The 18,614-nt window shown below is 46.0% G+C and overlaps 1 long non-coding RNA gene and 1 pseudogene across 1 annotated transcript; one reads left to right on the plus strand and one right to left on the minus strand.

The window, feature by feature from the left end:
- The first annotated feature begins 5,440 nt into the window (after positions 1-5,440).
- Positions 5,441-17,099, plus strand: LOC284950 (uncharacterized). The gene is made up of 3 exons (NR_038888.1): positions 5,441-5,666; positions 8,619-8,707; positions 14,307-17,099. It is a non-coding gene; the product is annotated as an uncharacterized LOC284950 (long non-coding RNA).
- On the minus strand, positions 10,746-10,923 carry RN7SKP83 (RN7SK pseudogene 83; annotated as a pseudogene).
- Positions 17,100-18,614: the final 1,515 nt, after the last annotated feature.

An 18,614-nucleotide genomic window follows, 5' to 3' on the forward strand; every position in this document is an offset into this window, starting at 1 on the left:
AGGCGGATGGATCACTTGAGCTCAGGAGTTCGAGACCAGCCTGGACAACATAGTGAGTCTTCTTTTCTGCAAAAAATACAAAAATTAGCTGAGCATAGTGGTGTGCGCCTGTCCCAGCTCATCGGGAGGCTGAAGTGGGAGGATTGCTTGAGCCTGGGAACTTGAGGCTACAGTGAGCCATAATTGTGCCACTGCACTCTAACCTAGACAACAGACTGAGACCATGTCTCAAAAAAAAAAAAAAATCCCTTCAGCCACCCATAAAGAAATCTGCTTTGGGGATCATAAGCATTCGTATATTTAAACACCTAAGTCACTCTTAGTCCTGCAACATGTTCCCGATGGGCTGAGGGGCCAGCAGATCCCATCCCCCAGAGTGTCATTGCATGGAATACATGAAGAACCACCTGAATCACTGCCACTGACATTTCTCTGGCTCTGTCACTTTTATCGTTTACACTGGTCCACAGCTTTTTATCAGAAACCCTTGGGGCCAGGAAGTTTCAAAGATGTGTATTTTTTTTTAAAGGGGAGTTAGAAAAGTTGTCTAGGGTTGTGGTGTTTATTAGGTAACTCTCCCTCCCCCAACAGGATGTGGGGCAGACCCTGTCATCAAACACATTTAATGTAATTAATATTCACAAATGTAAGGTATAAATACTCCCAAGGAGTGAGATAAATACAGACTAAAATTATCTTGTGTCACTTCAAGTCACCAAATGAGTTCTGTTCAGGTCAGATTTAGCCCTAGACATTACACACGTGCTCACACGCATGCACGCACGGCTGGTTTTCCGAGCTTTTGGATCTGGGAATTGCAGAGCAGAGGCTGTGCAGCATGGCCGAATGTGCCTACCGTGACTCCTCGGGTGCCAGGCCCAGGCCTTGTCTGACCCATGGGTTGTGTGGACAAGAGGCCACTGCGCCTCAGGGTGCCAGGGATCCCAGGCTCCTGAGAGTGAGGGGCTCAGAGCTTCCCCAGCTGTCACCTTCACACCTGGCCACTTGCCCCTAGATCTGCTGGACCCTGAAACACACTCCTCCCGTTACTGGCTGGTTGTGGGTGTCGTGGTGTCACAGCCCCTGGAGAAAATCCCCCAACCCCCACCAACCTTTGTCCCCTCCAGAGAGCATGGGCACCTTATCTGCAGCCCAGGTGGCTCCTAATCTTCTTAGACTCCAAGGTGCTGGGTCTGGCAGGAGCCAGAGACGGAGCCCAGGCCCGCCCTGGTTTTACAGATGAGGGAACTGAGACCCAGAGAGAGTGAGTGAATTACCTAGACTCACACAGCAGGTCAGTCTGGGCACTGTACTGGATGATTCCTGGCAGGGAGAGGGGTGCTGGAGGCATGTTTAAAAATCAGGGACTGGAAGAGCCTCTCAGCCTCAGAGAAGACATCTGAAGCAGCCTCTGAGCCACACGGAGCACCCCCCGCCCCCACCCCAATGAAGTGGGAGAGGTTCCCAGGCGCAGGGGGAGGAAAGGGGTCATGCAACCACGTCCTTGCCTCCCGCCACGAGTGTACCCCGAGTCACCAGGTTTGCTCAGCCGCAGCAGGGCCAGCCCCGGCGGCTGGAAGGCGGCGGCTGGGCCTGGACGTGGGTGTGGGCGCCCCCGGCCTCCCCCCGCCCCCGCAGGCGCCCCCCACCCCCCTAGCAGGCGCCCCGGTCCCTGTGTGGGCTGCTTTGACTCAGCGCCGGGAGCCGAGCTTAGGCAAACCACGCCGCACTGGACGCCATTCAAGCTTTTACAGGCCCTCAAATTGGGGCTGGAGCCGGAGAGGAAATACTAAAATCCTGTGTACACAACTTCTGTCTGGGCGCGCCGGGGCTCTGGGAAAATCAGGCGCGGCGAGGGACACATTTGGACTGTTTAAGGGCTCCTTTTCCCTGCTCTGCTTTTAGCAGGCATCACGATGTGTCGCCTAAAACCAAGATTCCTGGGTGTGGGCGCAGGAGGGTCTGCGGAGTGTGTGAGCTGAGGCTCGGCGGGAGGAACTAAGCTTTTCTCCTGCCCCCACGTGCCAGGCACACATGCGCCCAAAGTTGGGTTCAGAAATCCCTGTGGTCCATAAACCACACACTCTGCATGGCCCAGGCCCCTTCCCCTGCAGAAAGATGCAGCTGTCGGATGCTGGATCCTCAGAGCCTGGGCTTGGGAGTTAGGCAGGCCTGGGTGGGAACCCGGCTCCCCACTTGGCAGCACTATGACTGTACTGTGGGCAAGGGCCTCTATTTCCTCATCTGTAAAATGGGCGTGATCATGGTAAGTTACCTTGGAGGTTAAAGACATGATGTAGGTGGGGAACTAGCTCAGAGCCTGGCACATAGTAGGTGCTCCCTAAGTGGTAGCTGTTAGTATTTATATGGATTAATAGTGATAGCATCATGTTGAGCCTGGCACATGCTAAGTGCTGCCTACAAATCAATTCATTTAATCCTCACAGCAGCCCCATGGGATAATACTGTAACCCCATTTTAAGGGCAGAAACTAGGTCAATTCATTGACCTACCCAAGGTCACAAAGCTGGTGACTGGCCGGCCAGTCAACTGAACAAATGAACAGTTGAACCCAGGCCATCATTTTCATAGTGCAGATGATTTGCCACACTCTGAACTGTAACAGAGGAGGAGCTGGTGGTGGCCAGAGCTGCTGATGAGCTGTGTGTCCATGGCATCCTCAGCCTGGCACCGAGCCCCCCACACCTGGGCCTCATCCCACTGTCCCAGTTCCAGCTCTGCCAAGTGCCCTCAAGCACTTCCCACCTTGGCCCACCAAGAGCCCGAGCTGCCCCCTCCTACCTCTCGGCCTTGGCTCAGCCTCTCCCCCACCCCCAAGCTCGCTGGCTGCCTGCCTGTGCATCAGGCCACTCACTGGCCACCCCTCCGGTGGGGCTGGCTTCTCCTCTGAGCTGCAACACTTCCACCCCCAACCAGTGCCTTCAGCCTCCCTTCCTTCGACTTGGGCCACGCTGGTCTGTGATATGTTTGTTTCCCTCATTCTGGTCACTCGTCAAAACCCTACAGATCTGAGGCCAGACGTAGTGGCTCATGCCTGTAATCCCAGCACTTTGGGAGGCTGAGGAGGGTGGATCACCTGAGGTCAGGAGTTCGAGACCATCATGGCCAACATGGTGAAACCCCGTCTCTACTAAAAATACAAAAATTAGCCAGGCATGGTGGCATGCGCCGGTAGTCCCAGCTACTCAGGAGGCTGAAGCATGAGAATTGCTTGAACTGGGAGGCGGAGGTTGCAGTGAGCCGAGGTCATGCCATTGCACTCCAGCCTGGGCAACAGAGCAAGCCTCCATCTCAAAAAACAAAAACAAAAAATCCCCCAAACCCTACAGGTCTGGTCTAGTCTCTTGTGCAGAGCAGGGTCTCCCATTTGTGGAAACGAATTTTCATTGGTGGTAAATATTGGGTGATTGGTGACATTGTCCTCACTGGTGACTTGTATGAAGGAAAAAGAGAAGCCCCAGACAGTTTGTATAAGGAGGCAGGAGACAATGTGGGCATCACCCCGTGTTCCTGACGTCTGCTGCCAAGCACGTGGGGGTGTAACTCCTCTGCCCACCCTTCCCCCTACAACCCCCTTAATTGTTCTGTCATCAGGGCCTCCCAGGAGCCCATGCTGTCTCAGGTAATGGCAGAAACCTCAGGTAACGGCAGGTGTGTGAGCTCCTGGCTGGGCTTCCCTATACCAGCAGCCTGCAAAGGGTTTCCATTCTGGGATCAGAGGGGCTCCAGGCCTGCCCATGAGCCACATGATGCCAACCTCAGTGTGGGCCATGCCAGGCCTGAGACCACATAGTGGATCTCCCAGACCTCTGCTGGGCAGCTAGAGCTGCCATCCCACTTCCCCCAAACAGCCCAAACCCCCAGTGCCCACACCCAAGAGGCACGACAGTGTCATGGAAATAACATGGCCCTTGGAATCCAGAGATCTGGGTGTGGGTCCTGATACTGCAGTTCCATGAGGTCTTGGACAAATCACTTAACATTCCTGTGAGCCTCAGTTCCCCCATGGTGGTAATCATGTATATTTTACTTTGGGATTGAGAGACAGGAGAGGTATGAGAGCACCTGGAACACTGTGGGAGCTGAAGTGTTGGTTTAAGTGGGAGTCACAGTTGTGGTGGGGAGCTAGACTTGAGGGGTGACAGGATGACCCAGTGAGCTGGCCCAGCAGTAAGAAGGGAGGAATTGATGATGGAAAGGCTGGCGTCCCCTGGTCTGGCCTCTGCAGGACTCGTAGTTGAGTCTCCCCACCCCTTAGAGTGGGGGTATTCCTGGCCCCAACCACTTCACACCTTTGACGCTTGGGGGAGGGATGCATATACAGGTGGAGGCTGCTGGGAGTCTGGGGTGCCATGTGGGATACCCCAGACATCTGGCAGAGCTGCAGTGGTGCCCTATGGGTGCAGACTGGTTTGGGACCACACGTGAGCCACCCCAGGGGCTTCCAGAAGGGCGCAGTGCCAAGGCAGCTGAGGATCACGAGTAAGGAGCCTAAGGGGGCCAGAGAACTTGGGGGCGTGTTACTTGTGTCTAAAAATTGGCAGATCGAGGGTCAGGGCATCTGGACTGCTCCAGTGAATAAGGGAGAATGCACACTGGCCACCATCAGCTGCTGGGTACAGCCGGGAGAGCTGGTGGACTTGGAACAGGAACAGTCTGCATGGCGTGACAGCGCCCTCTGCTGTCCAGGCTGGGCTGGCATCGATGGTACAGGAGGAGGGTGATCCTCACACCTGGCATGAGCAGAACCTCCACTTCAAGCAGCCAGGGCTCAGGAGCAGGAGGGACCCCGGTAGATGGGAAACTCATTCCCATTTTACAAATGAGAAGACAGGCTAGGAGGAGTGTAGAAAGTTGCTCAGGGTCCCGTAGCTATTAAATGGCAGAGCCAGACTCATCCTGCAATGCCCTTCCTTCTACCCCAGACTGAATCATTTTATGCAAAATATAACAGGACTCAGGGATGCTGGAAACAGTACCCTTCTTTATTCTATTAAAATCAAATTAGATCTGACTCCGCCTCTGGCTGGGCTGCAGAAAACTTCATTCTGACTTGCTTTTGGAGATGGGAGTGGGTGCTGCTCCTCCCTAGGCCTGTGCAAGAGCCAGGGAGTCTAAGGTGATGCCAGAAAATGGGTGTGAGGGAGTAGTGTTTAAATCTTCAGTGCGTCAGCACCACTGTGAGAGCTTCGTGTCCAAGCCTCAGGGGGTCTGTGCTGCCTCCTTGCCCAGTTTGGCAGCCTGGGCCTGAGGCCATGCCACTCGCTCCCCTGAGGCCCCCTACAGCTTGGCTATGCCATCTGAGGTCTTGCTCCCCCGCCCCCACCTCAGCAGGTACTGCTGCTCCCAGCCATGGAGTTCTCTCAAAACCTTTCTCAAACCTTTTCCTCCCCTCCCCAACCCGCAGCCTAATCCCCTTAAATTGCTCCAGATCCTAGAAAATAAAAGCAGGAAAGGAAAGGTTGGCTGAACAGGGAAGGAAAATATGTCAAGAACAAAAGACAAATGATTATCTCAGGAAAAGTTCCTGCCCCTCTAAACTCTGTGCTGGGCAGCCACACGTGCCCGTGGGAAAGTGCTGTGTCCTTGGAGTGCCCTGCACGCTGCAACTGAAGCCAACAAGACACGGCCCAGACAGGGAGCAGGTTGGTTGAATCCATTTGCAGAAACTTGGGGCAAGGAGTTGGTTGTGACGAATGTGGCATGCCACTCCCCATCTAAAGCAGTGAAAGTTAAAAGGAGGTTATGGAAAATTGGGGAAGGGGCTAAATGCCCAGGAGCCTGGGTTGCAAAGCCAATCCTATCTGAGAAGAATGAACTTGGGGACCCCTTATTGTCATCACAACTATAAAAATGGCCTGGCAGGTCCAACTGTGGCCCTCTGGACTCTGCAACAGCCAGATCTGCAGTCCTCAGTTTTAAATCTGTAACCAAGAGATTTGGTTAGAGATCCAAATTAGAGACCTAGTTATCCTTAGCTGTTATGTTCAGTCCACAAATCATGTTATTCTGTTTATAAATAGGGCAAAATAAAAAGTGATCTTTAATTTTCTTTGATTAATGAGCTATTAACTCAACTTGAAGACACTAAGCTCTCTTAAAAAAAAAAAAAAAAAGCACTCGTGGCAATGAAACTGCCAGCCCAGTGTCACCAGTTACCCAAGGGTGACACCCTCGTCCTGCTGGAGATGGTGCATCTGCTGCTTCGAGAGCCCTTTTCTAACCTGGGAAAGCTTGAGTTTAAACATGAAGATAGTGAAATAAGGTAAGCCTTTAGAAGCAAAACTTTCATGCTAAGTTTAGGAGTAATCTTCGTATGTTTGTTTCTTTAAAATACTGTAATAGTCTAAAGAATCTAACATTAAAGACCGACAGATTAGCCTGATGCCTCCAGTTTTAAATATGTACTAGAATTTAGACTTGTCATGGAACCAATCTAAGTGTCCACCAACTGTTGATTGTATAAAGAAAATGTGGTTTGTATACCCCACGAAATACTATGCACCCATAAAAAAGAATGAAATCATGTCCTTTGCAGCAACATGGATGGAGCAGGAGGCCCTTATCCTAAGTGAACTAACTCAGAAGCAGGAAATCAAAAACCTCATGTTCTCACTTATAAGTAGGAGCTAAACGATGCGTACACATGGGCGTAAAGATGGAGATAATAGACACTGGGGACCCCAAAACTGGGGAGGAGGCTGGGAGGGAGGAGGAGAAGGGTTGAAGCAGGGAGAAGGGTTGAAGAATCTCCTATTGCATATAATGTTCAATATTTGGATGATGGGTACACTAGAAACCCAGTCTCCACTATTACACATATAATACCCATGTAACACACGAGTACATGTACTCCCTGAATCTAAAATTTAAAAAAAATTTAAAAGAATTTAGACTTGTGATTTTAAGTTGCAAAGGGAAAAAAATGACCTTATTTTTCTGAATAATTATTGGAATTTCAAGGAAAACTGATGCTTCACTATTTTAATAACATTTTATTTCTTAGATTTATAAGAATTTATTATTTGAAGATATTTTGCTTGTTAAGGCAATACAATTGCTTTGTTAGGCAACTGAAGTGCTTACAAAAGAAATGTAATATATTACATTTATAATGCAGTTCAGAGTTTAAGAGAATTTAATTAATTAAATTTACAAATAATTATTAAGGAAACAGAGTCTTCAAGTTGAGTTAATAGCTCATTAATCAAAGAAAATTGAAGGTCACTGTTTTTATTTTGCCCCATTTATAAACAGAATAACAAGATTTGTAGACTGAACATAACAGCTAAGGATAACTAGTTTATTTCATTTTAATGGAACATTAATTTAAAACCCAAGCAACTGTGAGTAGCCCTTTCTGGACTGCCCTCAGACATTAAAATAAAAAACAAAACAATTCACAATGACAGATATTAATACGAATAGCTAACGTTTGTATGGTGTTTTACACTAATGCTCTCTTCCATTACTAATGAGAAGCACTGGGAGGTTAGTAACTTGCTCGAGGCCCTGCGTCTAGGAAGTTGGACTGGAGCTTGGCTCTTTGACTCCAGAGGCTGCACTCTTTTTTTTTTTTGAGATGGAGTCTCGCTCTGTCCCCCAGGCTGGAGTGCAGTGGCAGGATCTCGGCTCACTGCAAGCTCCGCCTCCCGGGTTCACGCCATTCTCCCACCTCAGCCTCCCGAGTAGCTGGGACTACAGACGTCCGCCACCACTCCCGGCTAATTTTTTGTATTTTTAGTAGAAACTGGGTTTCACCATGTTAGCCAGGATGGTCTCCATCTCCTGACCTCGTGATCCGCCCGCCTCGGCCTCCCAAAGTGCTGGCATTACAGGCGTGAGCCACCGCACCCGGCCCGGAGGCTGCTCTCTTAACCACGGTGTCGGAGGATGTTTGGGTCTTGGTTTCTAGGGTCTGCAACTGAGGTCCCTGGAGAAGGGCTAACACTTCCCTAACATACTCTAGTGAATGCTGTCTAGTCAGCACTCCCACCTGCTCAACCACTTTGGTGCTCAACAGAAGACGTGGGCAGATCCTGGCTGCCTAGATTTGAACCCCAAAGTACGGCCACAGGTGTGTGTCCTTACAAACATGGAAATTCTGATATCCACGTGTGACCGTTTACAGATGTGAACTGTGAGAGCTATGCATTATTTTCTTCCTTGTGAAATACATTCACCATTTTCCCACACTGTCTTTCTCCCAATCGTTTACATTTTAAAAGTTGGTGGCATTTAGCATTACAATATAGTTTTTAGGTAACAGAAAGTTCCGGTGGGACTGGTGACTGAACTAGATGAGGAATTAACGTAGCCCAGAGATGGAAGCAGTGGACTTCGTGTCGAATTTTTCGTGGAGAGGATGAGTGTGTCTTCATCTAGGCGAGTAGCGGCTGTGTCCTGCTAGGCAGAAGCGTGGGTTGTAGTCAGTGTTGTCATATGGAGGTTTAAACATGGGTGACATGGGAACTGTTTGGCGGAGTGCGCTGGGTCGTGTCTATTGTCTCTCACTCACCGTCTCTGCCATCCTCTCTACTGCTGGGATTGGGAATCTGAAAATTATATTCCAACTCCGTTGTCTTTCTACCTGTTAGGTTCTGCTAACAGTGGGGAGGGGACATCTGGCAGCATCTCTCCCAAGCAGCAACGGTAGCAGTGGTGGCAGCAACAGCAGCAGCAGCTGGTGAGTATGGGCCCCTGGGTAACACCATTTTCCCTTTTGCTTCCTGTAGGTAGAAATCTGTAGGTAGTCTTCTTACAGCAATTCTGACACCTCTGTCACTCACTAATGCTTTGTGTTGAATCCTTCTGTTTAAAATGTTTGCCGTCGTTTCCACTCTGCTGATTGGACGCTGACTGATACAGATCTCATTCTCTGTTTGCTTGTTGCGCTCAGCTCTTTGATTTTAAGATAGGTCCATCTTGCACTGTAGACACCAGGTTGGTTGCTTCTGACTGCCACATAGTACCATGGAGCATGCGTCGGCCACATTGTACCTCCCCCTCCCTGGGGGATTGCTCATTCAGATTGCCGCCCAACATGCTGTGATAATTTTTTTTTTTTTTTTTTTTTTGAGACAGAGTCTCACTCTGACGCCCAGGCTGGAGTGCAATGGCACAATCTCAGCTCACCGCAACCTCTGCCTCCTGGGTTCAAGCAGTTCTCCTGCTTCACCCTCGCAAGTAGCTGGGATTACAGGTGCACGCCACCACACCTGGCTAATTTTTGTATTTTTAGTAGAGACGGGGTTTCACCATGTTGGTCTGGCTGGTCTCAAATTCCTGATCTCGTGATCTGCCCACCTTGGCCTCCTAAAGTGCTGGGATTACAGGTGTGAGCCACTGCGCCCGGCTGATAAATATTCTTAAACGTGTTGTCTTTTTAGACCTGTGTGAGAATTCCCCAGGATAAAAGTATATACCCAGGAGTGAAATTGCTTGGTCATAGATCATAGCTATGTCATATGCTACGTACTATAAGATTACACTCCAAACTAGCCATGCTCCCCACCCAGATAATACTACATATATTATTCTATAACTGGATTTCTTTCACTTCATATATGACAAAATTTTAAACGGTTCCAACTGGGGAAATTTAAGAAAAAAATTAAGGTGCAAACTCTAATCAACTGTGGAAACAACTGAAACTGTGTATAGGATAACAGCTTCTACAGTCAGCCTGCAAAGCCTGTCTACCACTCATTAACTGTGTGACCCTGGGGTAATAGCCTAACCTCCCTGTGCCTGCCTCAGTTTTCTCATTGGTAAAATGGATATAATAATAGTACCTACCTTATTTTAGGATGTTATTAAATAATGTACATAAAGTATTTAGACTATTCCCTGGCACATAGCAAGAACCCAATGACTGTTGGCTATTATTGTTGAACATTTAGGTAATTTCCAGTTTTTTTGCTATTTCTCAACAATGCTCCAATGACATTCAGGATTTTTTTTTTTATGGTGGTAAAAAACATATAACATCACATTTACCATGCAAGGTCAGATTCTAGAGTGACCACCTGAGTACTCACACTAGAGCTCTGGCAGCAAACACGAGCCTGGGTCTAACAACCTTTTGGCTTGGGACTCTTGGATCTCTTTAGAGTAACAGGGTCTCTTCAGACTGCCTGTTCCAGTTGCTGCATGGTCAAGACCTGTGGCTGGAAGTCCCCTTCCGATGGTTTCCTGATTTCTGCATTGCCAATCCCCTGGCCAGGGCCAGCTTGAGCTTCTGGTGTGGGTGAGACTCCACAGTCCTAATCTCAGGTCAGGTAGGAGAATGTCTGTGCACAGTTGCATGACATGAAGGGACAGCATTGATTCAAATCCCTGCTCCGTGGCTTAGCATCTGTGTGATCTTAGGCAAGTGATGCCACCTGTCTGAGCCTCTGTTGCCTCATCTGTAAGATGGGAATGATACCTATTTCACTGTGTTGCTGGGAGGATTTGAGAATTGCAATGTGTCTTAGTCTGTTCAGATTGCTATAACAAAATACCATAGACTAGGTGGCTTATAAACAGCAGATATTTATTTCTTACAGTTTTGGAGGCTGTGAAGTCCGAGATCAAGGCACTGCAGATTCAGTGTCTGGCGAGGGCCTTCTTGGCTGGTTCAGAGACAATGCCTTCTTGCTATGTTCTCATCTGGTAGAAGGAATAAGTCAGCTCTCTGGGGCATCTTTTAAAAGGGCATGAACCCCAATCAGCAGAGCTCCACCGTTAGGACCTAATCACCTCCCAAAGGGAGTGCAGTTATTTGCATGCCTGTAACTGAAGAACGGTCCTCCTCTATCAGGGAAAGTTGTCCTCTTCGACTGAGCACACAGCTTCAAGAGGGACGCATGTGAAGTGGTGAGGGAGGAAGGGGATACCCACCTAGCCAGCCTCACATCCTACCAGACTTTTGATTTCTATCATTTCCTTCTGATTCTTTCCTAGATTTCTCATCTCTCTGCTTATATTATCCATCTGTTCTTGTATGTTGTTTACTTTTTCCATTAGAGCCTGTAATGATTAATTTTATGTGTCAGTTTTGAGGTTCCAAGATGCTTGTTGAAAGTGAAGATATTTAAAGTGTTGAAAGAAACAAACAACCATTAAATTCTGTAGCTAATGAAATTATTCTTCAAAAGTGAAGGAGAAATAAGATTTGCTCTCAGTCAAAGGGTATTTGTAGCCGTTAGACCTACCTTCCAAGAAATGTTAAAATAAAATTTTCAGAGAAAAGGAAAATGATATAGGGCCAGGAATTTGGAACTAAAGAAATAAAGAATGCCAGAAAAGGAATAAGTTTAGATTGGCTGACTGTAGACCAAAAAAAAAAAAAAAAAAAGGAATAAATGAGGTAAAATAAAATATTTTAATTTTCCTATTTTTAATTACTTTGATAGATTATTACTTTGTTCAAAGTAATAATAGCAACAATGTGTTGGGTGATTATAGAATACGGATAAGTGAAATGAAAGCTAGTTGTCTTATAAGTATAGTAGGGAGGAATTGGGAACAGTCTTGTTATAAATGGACTTCTATTAGTTGTAAATGTATATGGAAAACTCTAGGGCAACTTTTAAAAAATGTAAAGACATATAATTGATATGCTAGGAGAAGAAAGAAAACAGAGTCATATAAAATGCTTAATTAAAACCAGACAAGGCAGAAAAAGAGAGAAAATTTTTTAAAGGAAATAAGAACAAGTGCAACAAATAAAAAACAGCTATCAACCTGTTAGAATATCAATCTAACTATATCAACAATCACTAAATGTGAATGGTCTACATATACCAATTAAAAGAGACTGTCAGAGTGGATAAAACAAAGCAAGACCCCAACTATATGTTAAGAGCAACCTTCTTTAAATATAAAGACCCAGATAAATTCAAAGTAAAGGAATGGAGAAAGATAAACTATGCTGTCACTAATCAAAAGAGACCTAGGACCGCTATGTTAATTTCAGGCAAAGCAGATTCAGAACAAGGAAAGCTGTCAGGGATAAAGAATACATAACGATGAAGGCATCAATTCTCTAAGAAAACATAGCAATCTTTAACATGCAGGCACCTCACAACACTGTCAAACTATCTGAGGCAAAAATTGATAGAACTGCAAGGAGAAATAGACAAATCCACTATTATATTTGGAGAGGCCAATACCCCTCTATCAGTAATTGACAGCCCCAGAAGGTGGAAAATCAGTAATTACATAGTTTACCTGAATAGCCCCATCAATTGTCTGGATTAAATTGACATTTATGGAATACTTCATTTAACAACAGCAAGAATACACAGTCTACACAAGCTCACATGAAACATTCAGCAAGTGTTTGATATTTAATGTTTGTGTCCCTCCAAAATTCATAGGTTGAAGCCCTAACCCCCACGTGACTGTATTTGGAGATGGGGTCTTGAAGGATGTAATTAAAGTTAAATGAGGTCCTATGGGGGGTGACCCCATCCAATATGATTGATGTCTTTTATGTCTTTTTTTTTTTTTTTTTCTTTTGAGACAGGATCTCACTCAGGCGACCAGGCTGGAGTGCAGTGGTGAGATCTCAGCTCACTGCAACCTCAGCCTCCAGAGCTCAAGAGATTCTCCTACCTCAGCCTCCCAGGAAGCTGGGACTATAGGCGGGCACCACTGCACCCAGCTAATTTTTGTGTTTTTTGTAGAGACAGGGTTTTGCCATGTTATCCAGGCTGATCTTGAATGCCTGGGATCAGATGATCCACCTGTCTAGGCTTCCCAAAGTGCTGGGATTATAGGTGTGAGCCACGGCTCTCGGTTGGATTAATGTCCTTATAAGAGGAGACACTGGAGCGCTTGCATTCTCCCGTGCTTCTCTCTGTCCCTTCCTCCCTCTCTCTCCACATTGGTCGTGTGACCACAAAGCCAGAAAGTGGCTGTCTGCAACCCAAGGGAAGAGCCCTCACCAGACGCCAACCTGGCTGGCACCTTGATCTTGGACTTCCAATCTCCAGAACTGTGAGAAAATACATTTTTGTTATTTAAGCCACCTGGTGTATGGTATTTTGTTTTAGCAGCCTGAGCAGACGAAGACATCAAGAAAGAACACTTCTGGGCAATAAAACACACTTTAACAAATGTAGAAGAATAGAAATCATACAAAGTATGGTGTCAAATCACAATAGAATTGAAAAGGGCACGTACACGTGAGTGCCCTGGAGTTTAAGCTCCATTGGCTTCAGGCAAATCTGCTTCTGCTGGTGATCCCCTTCCAGGCAGGGCGGGTCAGCCTCTCTGTGCACAGCTGTCCACTGCAAACTTGTCTCCCTCTCTCTGTGGCTGGGCACCAGGACATGTGAAGAAGGAAGTTCTCAGGTTATAGGGACTCAGCCTCCAGGGCACAGCCAGCTAGCCTCGGTGACCATTTGGAGGCCTGGTGTGTTAGTCAGGGTTGTCTTAGAGGGACAGAACTAATTATATATATAATTTATTATTATTATATATAAAATATATTATAATTATTATTATAAAAATATATAATATATATAATTATATATACTTAATATACTTTATATAATAAACTCATAATAAATAATAATTATATATAATTAATATATATAATAAACTCATAATAAATAATAATTATATATAATTAATATATATAATAAACTCATAATAAATATATATAATATATAATAAATTCATATATGTTTATATATGAGTTTATTAAGTATTTATATATATATGAGTTTATTAAATATTAACTCACAGGATTACAACATCCCACAATAGCCTGTCTGCAAGCTGAGGAGCAAGGAGAGCCAGTCCAAGTCCCAAAACTGAAGAACTTGGAGTCTGATGTTTGAGGGCAGGAAGCATCCAGCATGGGAGAAAGATGTGGGCTGGGAGGCTAGGCCCGTCTCACCTTTCCACATTTTTCTGCCTGCTTTATATTCGCTGGCAGCTGATTAGATTGCGGCCACCAGATTAAGGGTGGGTCTGCCTTTCCCAGCCCACTGACTCAAATGTTAATCTCCTTTGGCAACACCCTCACAGACACACCCAGGATCAATACTTTATATCCCTCAATCCAATCAAGTTGACACTCAGTATTAACCCTCACACTTGATAACAGGAGATTTCTGTAGACAGGAAAGTGAGGAAGTGGAAGGTATCTCACAAGATGGTCCTGAAGAGACATCAGAGTCTTCCCTCTGGCCTTGCAGGGGCCTATGCAGGTAGCTGCATGGAGCCCTTCTTCGGGTCAAGGAGATGATGTCCCCTTCACTGACTTTTGCACTTCCTTGAATCTGCAGGGGAGTGTCCCTCCAACTTCAGAGTGAGCAGCAGCAGCTGACCAGATTGGAGGACATTTCCACTGTCTTCCCTGGCAGCTGTGATGTGTTGTGCGGTGGCAGCTGAGGATTGCCTGCGTGTAATCTTTGAGGTTCCAAGATGCTTGTTGGAAGTGGAGCCTGGTCAAGCAGCAGAAAGGACAGCTGGATCCATGCTGGGTGGGGTGAGGTGGGGTGCTTGTCAGGGAAGTTGGCTTCAGCTGGAACTGGAGGTTGGCTCCAGCAAAGGAGGTTGAACATCACTGATTCCTGACCTGCAGCACCCAAATGGCCACAAAGAGATGTCATGGGTTTTGAGGAGGCCACAGAGCCAACAGCTTTAGTGTCTTCAGAAGGATGAAGAAAACTTGAACAACATTTTAAAATAGCTTGAGATATAATTCACATCCCAGAGAGTGCATCCATCTAAAGGGTACAATTCAATGGATTTTAGTATATTTACGGAGCTGTGCATTCATCACTACAATTAATTATAGAACTTCTTCATTTACTCAAAATACCCCAGCACCCCTTAGCTATCACCCTGATTCCTCTATCTCCCCCAGCCCTAGGCAACCATTAATCTTTTTTGTATCCATAGATTTGTCTATCCTAGACATTTCATATAAATGGAATCATGCAATATACGACCCTTCTTTCACTTTGTGTAATGCTGTCAAGGTACATCCACGTGATATCAGTTCCTCATTCTTTTTATGGCCAAATCACATTCCATTGTATGGATATATTACATTTTATTTATCTGTTCATCAGTTGGTGGACATTTGGGTTGGTTTCCATGTTTTTGGCTGTTAGGAATGATGTCCCCATGAACATTCATGTACAAGTTTTTGTGTGGACATGTGTTTTCATTTCTCTTGGACATATGCCTAGGAGTGGAATTGAGTCACATGGTAACTTTATAACCATTTGAGGAACTTCCAGACTGTTTTTCAAAGTGGCTACACCATTGTACATCCCCACCAGCAATGTACAAGGGTTCCAGTTTCTCCACATTTTTTTCAACTTTTTTTTTAATCATTTGACTTTTTTTTGAGACAGAGTCTCACTCTGTCGCCAGGCTGGAGTGCAGTGGCGTGATCTCAGCTCACTGCAACCTCCGCCTCCTGGGTTCAAGCGATTCTCCTGCCTCAGCCTCCCAAGTAGCTGAGACTCCAGGTATATGCCACCATGACCAGCTAATGTTTGTATTTTTAGTAGAGACGGGGTTTCACCATGTTGGTCAGGATGGTCTTGATCTCTTGACCTCATGATCCACCTGCCTCAGCCTCCCAAAGTGCTGGGATTACAGGCATGAGCCACCGTGCCCGGCCTCATCTGACTTTTTAATTAAAGCTACCCTAGCAGACATGAAGTGATATCTCATTATGGTTTTGATTTGTATTTCTCCCATGGCTAATAATATTCAGGACCTCTTTATGTGCTTATTGGCCATTTGTATATCTTTTTTAAAGAAATATCTATTCAGATCCTTTGCTTATTTTTGAATTGGGCTATTTGTCTTTTTATTCTTGAGTTGTAATTGTTCTTTATATATTCTAGATACAAGCAACTTATTATGTTTATAGTTTGCAAACAATTTTTTCCCATTCTTTGGGTTGTCTTTTCACTGTTTTGATAGTGTCTTTTGAAGCCCCAAAGTTTTTTATTCTGATGGCTGGTTTATCTGTTTTTTTCTTTAGTTGCTCATGCTTTTGGTGTCAATCTAAGAATGCAGTGCCAAATCCAGGGTCATAAGGATTTATCACTATGTTTTCTTCTGTGACTTTTATGATTTTAGTTCTTCTTTATAGGTCATTGATCCATTTTGAGTTAGTTTTTTTATACAGTGTGAAATATGGATCCAACTTCATTCTTTTGCATGTGGAAATTCAGGTGTCCCCACATCATTTGCTGAGGGGACTATTCTTTTTCCATTGAAAGAAGTTGGCACTCTTGCTCAAAATCAACTGGCCATAGATATGTGGGTTAATTTCTGGGCTCTCAGTTCCATTCTGTTGATGTATAGATCTGTCCTTATGCCCATACCACACTGTTTTGATTACTGTCATTTTATAGCAGGTTTTAAAATTGGGTAGCATAAATTATCCAACTTTTTCAAGATTTCTTTAGCTATTTGTGTTTTCTTGCATTTTCATATGCATTTTAAAAGCAACTTGTCCATTGCTGAAGTCGAAATTTTGATAGGGATTGCATTGAATTTGGAATCTGGGAGTATTGCTATCTTAATAATGTTAAGTTTTTCAATCTATAAACATGGGATGTCTTTCCACTCATTTAGATCTTCTTTAGTTTTCAACAATATTTTGTAGTTTTCAGAGCATAAGTTTTGTACTTCTTTTGTTAAATATGTTCATAAGTATCTTTCTGATGCTAATATAAATGAGTTTTTTTTTAAGACAAAGTTTTGCTCTGTCACCAAGGCTGGAGTGCAGCGGTGTGATCTCAGCTCATTGCAACCTCTGCCTAACGGGTTCAAGTGATTCCCCTGCCTCAGTCTACTGCGTAGCTGGGATTACAGGTGCCCACGACCACACCCAGCTAATTTTTTGTATTTTTAGTAGAGACAAGGTTTCACCATATCGGCCAGGCTGGTCTTGAACTCCTGACCTCAAGTGGTCCACCTGCCTCGGCCTCCCAAAGTGCTGAGATTACAGGCTTGAACCACTGTACCCAGACTGGAATTGTTTTCTTAACTTCATTTTTTATTTGCTCATAACTACTGTATAGAAATAAACTGATTTTTGTACACTGATCACATATCCTTGTAAACTTGCTAAACTCATTTATTAGTTTAATCATTTTCAGTGAATTCCTTAGGATTTTCAACGTACAAGATCATGTTATCTGCAAATGAAGACAATTGTACTTCTTCCTTTCCAATATGGATGGCTTTTACTTTATTTCCTTGCCTCATTGCCCTGGCTGGCCTCTTTAGTACAATGTTGAACAGAAGCTGTGTGAACAGACATCCTTGTCTTGTTCCTGATCTTCTGGGGAAAGCATTTTGTGTTTCAGCATTGAGTGAAAGCCCTTTAGCTGTGGCCTTTTCTAGATGTCCTTTAACAGGTTGAGGAGACCGAGTTCTTCAGAGGAGGAGCTGTGTCAGCTCTGAGGTGACGCACAGCATTGTCAGCTTTCTGAGTCTGAGGTCCCGGCTGGCTGGGAGGAGATGATGTCCTGAAGGATGTGGACATGATGGGCTGGGGCTCTGGGGACTTGAGGGGAGTCCCCGCTGCAGACCTGGGTATGGGAATAAAAAGGCAATATCAAAGGCAGTAATTGGACCCGTGGGAGTGGACCATCTCGGGAAGAGAAAAGAGCATCGGGGCAGAGATGTGGGAGAGGGGAGGGGAGCCCGAGAAATGGTCAGAGAAGGAGGAGAAAATCCAGACTGTGCAGGGAGGAGAGAAGTGCCCCAGCAGCTGAAGACGGTGCCAGAGCCTACTGGCTGGGGGGACCTTGCAGAAGAATGGGCCAGACCCACTGGGGGCCACCTGGTAGCCCGGCGCTGAGAGCTGTGCACGCGGCCTCACAACACCAGGTGGCGCGGTGGACCATTGTAACAGCCACTCCTCTTAGCCCTGGTGGTTTCTTTTCATTAACGACAAATGAAAGAGCTGGGGCCTCGCCAAGCCCCTGTTCAACCGATGGAACCTCTGAGAGGGGCTGTGACCTTCCTGAAAGCATTACAGGGGCATTGTGGCAAAGGTGGGGCTGCCTCCTGGCCTCCTGGCTCCTGTCCCAGGATCTCTCTCCAGTCACCCCTTACCTACCCCAAAGGGATCTAGAAAAGTGGCTGGCGGAATACCCGGTCAGAAGGCAGCCTGGAAGGACTTGAGGTCCACCAAACCCGTCTAGGTCCCCAGCACCACCTGCTTTTCAGTGTTGCCTGCGGTGAGATCACCTTCCTCAGCTTTCCCATCGATTCTCTGCTCCCAGTTCCCCACTCCCCATTCTCTTTCCACTCAGAGCCACATGATTTTCAGTTTAAGCTGAATTGAGTCACTCTCCGCGCCCCCCCCGCCCCTGTAACATCCCTCAGGGGCTCCAAATTGCTCCTTACCCCTACATTCATCTCCCTCATCGCAGCCACACCCTGAGCCTATGCTCACTTTGTGATTTGGTTGTTAAAGCATGTCCTGCTTTAACAACCCTTCTCGAAAGCTGCTAGTTTTGCCTGGAACGCTCCTCCTGCCCTCCTGCCGGCCCCCTAATTAGCATTTTGGTCTCAGTTTAGACTCACCTGGTTTTCCTGGTGCGCTCCCG

This window comes from Homo sapiens, chromosome 2 (assembly GCF_000001405.40).
Source record: "Homo sapiens chromosome 2, GRCh38.p14 Primary Assembly".
NCBI classification, from domain to species: Eukaryota; Metazoa; Chordata; class Mammalia; order Primates; family Hominidae; genus Homo; species Homo sapiens.